The sequence below is a fragment of the Homo sapiens genome, chromosome 16, assembly GCF_000001405.40.
Source record: "Homo sapiens chromosome 16, GRCh38.p14 Primary Assembly".
In the NCBI taxonomy this organism is placed as follows: Eukaryota; Metazoa; Chordata; class Mammalia; order Primates; family Hominidae; genus Homo; species Homo sapiens.
The window spans coordinates 9294367-9300715 of record NC_000016.10 but is presented as its reverse complement, the minus strand read 5'-3'; the positions used below and the strand labels follow the sequence as shown (position 1 = coordinate 9300715).

Sequence of the window (6349 nt, the reverse complement as noted above, 5' to 3'; positions counted from 1 at the left end):
ACATGAGCCACATTTCAAGCACACAGCTATATAGGCTTGGCTAATGAAAACCACGTTGGACAGGGCGGCTATAGAATATTTTCATCACTGCAGAAAGTCTACTGGACAGCACAGGATTACTGTGAGGAATATTAAATGAACTGATGAATATAATGTGCCTAGCACCACACCTGAAGGATAGGAAGTGCTCAATACAATGAGGGTGTTATGCCATTTAATCCTCTGCAAGGTGGTGGCTTTGCTCCCATTTCACAGATGAGAAAGCCGAGGTTCAGAAAAATGAAAATAATATATTCAAACTCTGATACCAGTAACTAGCCAAGTCAGAATTTAAGCCCTGATCTGTATGACTCCAAAAATCGGTGTGTTTTTCATGAGATAAGCAATCTTCACGCAATAGGAAGAGAGATTGGCAAGAGAGGAAGTAGTGATGCAAAATGGAATAAAAATAAAAATAGGCTGGTGTGGTGGCTCATGCCTGTAATCCCAGCACTTTGGGAGGCCAAGGCAGGCACATCACAAGGTCAAGAGATTGAGACAATCCCGGTCAACATGGTGAAACCCCATCTCTAGTAAAAATACAAAAATTAACCGGGCGTGGTGCGCACACCTGTAGTTCCAGCTACTCAGGAGGCTGAGGCAGGAGAATTGCTGGAACCCAGGAGGCGGAGGTTGCAGTGAGCCAAGATCGCGCCACTACACTCCAGCCTGGCGACAGAGTGAGACTCTGCCTCAAAAATAAATAAATAAATAAATAAAAATTAAAAAGCTACAATGGTACCATCAAAAGCAAAGAGAGCTCAGTCCTTGCAGTCTCAGAGAAAACAAACTCAAACCCACTGCTCCTCCCCTGAAGACATTTGGCCTCACTTACAGGACAGTGAGAAGGTTTCAATCCCTCTTTAAACCTCAGTTTCCTCTTCTGTAAAGTGGGTTGCTTTGACGATAAAGCAAGATAACGTATTTTCAAGCACAGAGTAGGTACTCAAAAAATTATTTTTTAAAAAAATCTGAATAATGACCACCCTAAGTACAACCTTTGGGTCTGGGCCTATCCAAGAGCGCTCACCTACCTTTTTGGCTTTTGGAAAGAATCAGAAATTTGTTGAATCCACACTCTCCAGGAAGCAGAAAAGCTCACTGCCTCTTGCAGAGGACGTAATAGCTAAAGTGTGGCTTTTTAATTTGTTAATCTTTGCAAATCAGGGTTCCAGAGCTTTGCAAAGATGCGGAACCATCAGAGCTCTATACAGAAACAATCAATTCCTTGATTAAAATATGACAGCTTAATTAATTAGTACTTAATAGCTCAACCTTAATTATACCCTACATCGTTATTTGATAATATTCATAAATTTCCCATGTGGCTGTGCACACATGTCTTTTATCAACTGATTACAAATGCCAGGACTTGACCTCCATCCTCGGGAAAATGTCTCGGATGTCAAGAACATGAAAGACTTCATTAACACTAATGCCGACCTCACCAAGGTCTACTCCCAGTTAAGAATTCTCTGATTTAAAAGTTCTTTGAGATCCACCAGAGAAAAGTGATGATTTGTGCACTAAGTTTGCTGTATAGTTTATTTCCTTCAAACCTCAATATTTTAGGAAATTTTATAAAGTATTAAATAATATCCCTGGATCTTACTTTCACCTGAAAAAGACACTCACAGACTTTATTTTTTTTTAACCCGGAGAGTGGGTTAGTTTCTAAACTAGGTGAGAATAGCTGAAATTCTTTGGATGTGATGGGAGAGTTATGGGGACCCCGTATGATGATGATTAATATGGCTTTGAAGCCCAAAAGCCCTGGCTTGAGGCCAGGCACAGTGGCTCACACCTGTAATCCCAGCACTTTGGGAAGCCAAGGTAGGTGGTTCACTTGAGGTCAGGAGTTCAAGACCAGCCTGGCCAAGATGGCGAAACCCCATCTCTACTAAATATACAAAAATTAGCTGGGTGTGATGGTGTACGCCTGTAGTCACAGCTACTCGGGAGACTGAGGCAGGAGACTCACTTGAACCTGAGAGGCAGACGTTACAGTGAGGGGATATCACATCACTGCACTCCAGCCTGGGCGACAGAGCAAGACTCCATCTCAAAAAAAAAAAAAAAATACCTGGGCTTGAATCTCTGTAATTCTGAGCTTTGTGATCTTGATTGAGTTTCTTCACTTCTCTGAGCCTGTCTGTTCATTTGGTAAATTGAAATAATAATTTGTAGTTCTCAGAATGTTGATATGACATTCAAATGGATGGGAAAGTGCCTGGCACGTACTAGATGCTCAATAAATGTTACATGTTAACCCATCAGCTGTGCCAGAGCGTAGGCCATTCTGCTTTGTCCAATTGCCCATGGAGATCACTCACCTGGAGGAGGGGGATCAGACCTCTGTATGTGGGAGCTCTGGAGAATGAGGTGGGAGGAGAGCTATCAGAGAGGATAAGAAGATTATATTCTGCCAAATAAACCAGTTCTTCTGTGGATGTGTCTTTTGGGCTTGGTGGGGGCGGGGGGGGGAGTGCAAGAGAGGGCACAAAACTTCCCAGAAGTCTCCGGAACTACTTTAGGAGCTGCAGCCCTGCCTAGAGGGAAGGGACCCCACTTGAGTTGAGGTGCCCAGCCTCTAAGCATGGCTCTGTCTTGGGTGGCATTAAGCAAGTCCCTCAACTCTTGGAAAATTAGTCTTCTTCTTTGTTAAAGAAATTGGTTCCATTTTTCCAAACACCTGCTGCAACTACAGAATCACCTGGGACATTTATTTAAATAGAGATATAATATACAGCAGCAATCCCCCAGCACACACATCCCAAATAATGACAATTTCCATATAACAATTTTTTTTAGATACTCACTTCTGGGCCTCGATTGATTCAGTGGGTCTGAAGTGATTTCCAAGAATTATTATTTAAATTTCTCAAGGAATTCTGATGGGCAACCAGGTTGGGGAACTAAAAGGATTGCTGGTTTCCAGTGTCCGCATCCACCGGGAAAACTTGGCTTCGTTGCCGCCTTGGCACACCAGTGACACCTGGTGGCTTGGAGGAGTAACTCTAGCTTGTCGCGGCACGTGATTTCGAATCCTCCATTGCATCGCTCCTGGCAGTTGTGGGACGAGATGACGTTTTCCACTCTTCCCAAAAGTTAGATAACATGATTCTCTGTCTCAACATCCATAATAGACACAGCATCTCAGCTCCTGAATCCATCTTTCAAACTACCCATTTGACAGATGTCCACCTTGGACCACCACCATTACTTTTTTGGCCTCCAAATTCTGATGGCACCTGCAACTAGAAACCCCACAAGACATCGCCATTTCAGGAGACACACAGACATGGGGTGACCACTCAGATACCTGGACTGGACTGTGTCCTAAAAGAAGAGACACATGACCTTTCCTTCAGCTCATAGAATTTACAAAGTGAGATAAGACGAGATGCTGAAAAAGGCATAAACTGATGTACTCTCAATCTCCCATTCCCTAGAATCTGTGACCAGACAATGAGAACACATGGGCACAGGGAGGGGAACATCACACACCAGGGCCTGTCGGGGGGTGGGGGGCTAGGGGAGGGATAGCATTAGGAGAAATACCTAATGTAGATGACGGGTTGATGGGTGCAGCAAACCACCATGGCATGTGTATACCTATGTAACAAACCTGCACATTGTGCACATGTATCCCAGAACTTAAAGTACAATAAAATTAAAAAAAAAAAAAAAAAGAATCTGTGACCAGACAACTCTTTACATTCTTGTTGGCCATCCCAAGATTAATCAATCATACCAATAATCGAAATTACAGAAAATCTATCCAACACAGTGGCCATTTCCAGAAATTAGATTGTTCCTCATTAGCGGGGGATTTTCTTTTTCTCTATATTATTTCCCACTAATATTAAAAAAATATTTTTACTGGATTTTTTCCATCATTTTCCCAGCATGGACCTAATAGCAACCAAGAAGTACTTTAAAAATTCCATTATCTTTATCGAATGGAAATTCTCACAATATCACAATTGCCAAAGGTCTCTTTTATTCTGGTGTTAACCTTGGGAAGATTTTAGATGTCCTTTGGGGCATGCACAGAGGACCGAGGAAATCTTTCTTTTCTACATCCTTGGAGAGCTCAGCACACTTGACTAAGTATGAAACTGTTCACTCCTGATTTGTTTCTCTGGTTGAATATTGATTTGACTTCTGTTGTATATCACAAATGCACACCAATCTCCAGAATCGTGGGGCACTGAGGGTTTCTGTTTAATATTCAACTTGGAGCCACTCAAGCACTCACACAATTTTTTTTTTAGTTGCTCCACCTGTTGTCCTCCCAGATGGATGAGGTAAGAATGTCGTGTATAAAACAAAGTAATTGCTGTGGCTGTTAAACAATTCAGGACCACTTCCCCTGAGCTCTGCTGGGGATTTACAAAGTCCCACAGATGCCAAGCTTGAAGAAGCTTAAAAGGGGAGCTGCTCATTTGGAACTGAGTAAATCCAGTGATCTCTCTGGTTATGTAGCAAACCTGTCTAAGTCTGCGTGTCCGATATATTTGCGCTTTTGTACTGGCTAAGTCCATACTTGGGCACATCTGGCATTCCCCCTATTTATGAGACTGACACCTATGCTGCATGTTGGAGGGGAAATATATGGTTCTGAGCAGTATTTCTGGTGCCTGGACACTTGAAGTTACTTGATCTAAATGCAAGTCTTTAAGTGAGAGAATCATCAGGGGAATTCTATTTTTAAAATCCCAAAGTGTTTAAAAATAAAATAAGATTCTTAAGGACAAATCAGTTTGTTTTGGGGGTGGAGGGAATCATCTGGATATTTGCTTTTCCCCTCATTTTTTTTTTTATTTATTTTTTATTATTTTTTTTTAGAGACAGGATCTGGCTCTGTCACCCAGACTGCAGTGCAGTAACACAATCATAGCTCACTTGCAGCTTCAAACTTCCAGGCTCAAGTGATTCTCCTGAGTAGCTAGGACTACAGACACATGCCACCATACCTAGTTAATTTTTTTTTAATTATTTCCTGTAGACCAGGCACAGTGGCTCACACCTGTAATCCCAGCACTTTGGGAGGCTGAGGCGGGTGGATCATTAGAGGTCAGGAGTTCGACACCAGCCTGGCCAACATGGTGAGACCCCGTTTCTACTAAAACTAGAAAAGTCAGCTGGGTATGGTGGCACACGCATGTAATCCCAGCTACTCAGGAGGCTGAGGCAGGAGAATCTCTTGAACCCAAGAGACAGAGGATGCAGTGAGCCGAGAATGCACCACTGCACTCCAGCCTGGGCAACAGAGTGAGACTCTGTCTCAAAAAAAAAATTTATTTATTTATTTATTGTAGAGACAATGTCTCACCATGTTGCCCAGGCTGGTCTCAAACTCCTAGCCTCAAGCGATCCTTCCACCTCAGCCTGGCAAATTTCTTGGTTACAGGTATGCGCCATCATGCCCAACCCTCTCCTTTCTGCTAATCCTCCATCATTTGTGATGATGGTTGGTTGGTTAGGTGTTGGGAGAGATTTAAGAAAGATGTCTCAATCAGCAGAAGGCATTGCCTATCCCCCTGGTGCTACTGGGTGGCATTGAGAGGACAGTAAGTTTCCTAAGATTCTGCAAACCAGATGGAATTCTTACCTTGTTACATCACCCAAGGGCCCCAAGGAGGCTTCAGCTATTGAGGTGGATGCAAAGAATCCCAGTGCCAGTAGCAGCCTTCACTGCTGTGTGCATTTGTAAAGTGGAACAAACCAGATGTTGATGGTACACAAGACTGCACAGGCAAGAAGCGGGCAATAAGACAGGTGTCAGGTGGATAAGCTTTTTGATGTGCTGCTGAATTCGGTTTGCCAGTATTTTATTGAGGATTTTTGCATCAATGTTCATCAAGGATATTGGTCTAAAATTCTCTTTTTTGGTTGTGTCTCTGCCCGGCTTTGGTATCAGAATGATGCTGGCCTCATAAAATGAGTTAGGGAAGATTCCCTCTTTTTCTATTGATTGGAATAGTTTCAGAAGGAATGGTACCAGTTCCTCCTTGTACCTCTGGTAGAATTCGGCTGTGAATCCATCTGGTCCTGGACTCTTTTTGGTTGGTAAGCTATTGATTATTGCCACAATTTCAGCTCCTGTTATTGGTCTATTCAGAGATTCAACTTCTTCCTGGTTTAGTCTTGGGAGAGTGTATGTGTCAAGGAATTCATCCATTTCTTCTAGATTTTCTAGTTTATTTGCGTAGAGGTGTTTGTAGTATTCTCTGATGGTAGTTTGTATTTCTGTGGGATCGGTGCTGATATCCCCTTTATCATTTTTTACTGCATCTATTTGATT

General features: G+C 42.6%; 1 long non-coding RNA gene across 1 annotated transcript; it reads right to left on the bottom strand.

Annotated features, from left to right (window-relative positions):
• Window positions 1-2741: 2741 nt before the first annotated feature.
• LOC105371075 (uncharacterized) lies at window positions 2742-5904 on the bottom strand. The gene is made up of 2 exons (XR_933060.2): window positions 5657-5904; window positions 2742-3296 (listed from the first exon to the last, which is right to left on the bottom strand). It is a non-coding gene; the product is annotated as an uncharacterized LOC105371075 (long non-coding RNA).
• Between the last annotated feature and the right edge of the window lie 445 nt (window positions 5905-6349).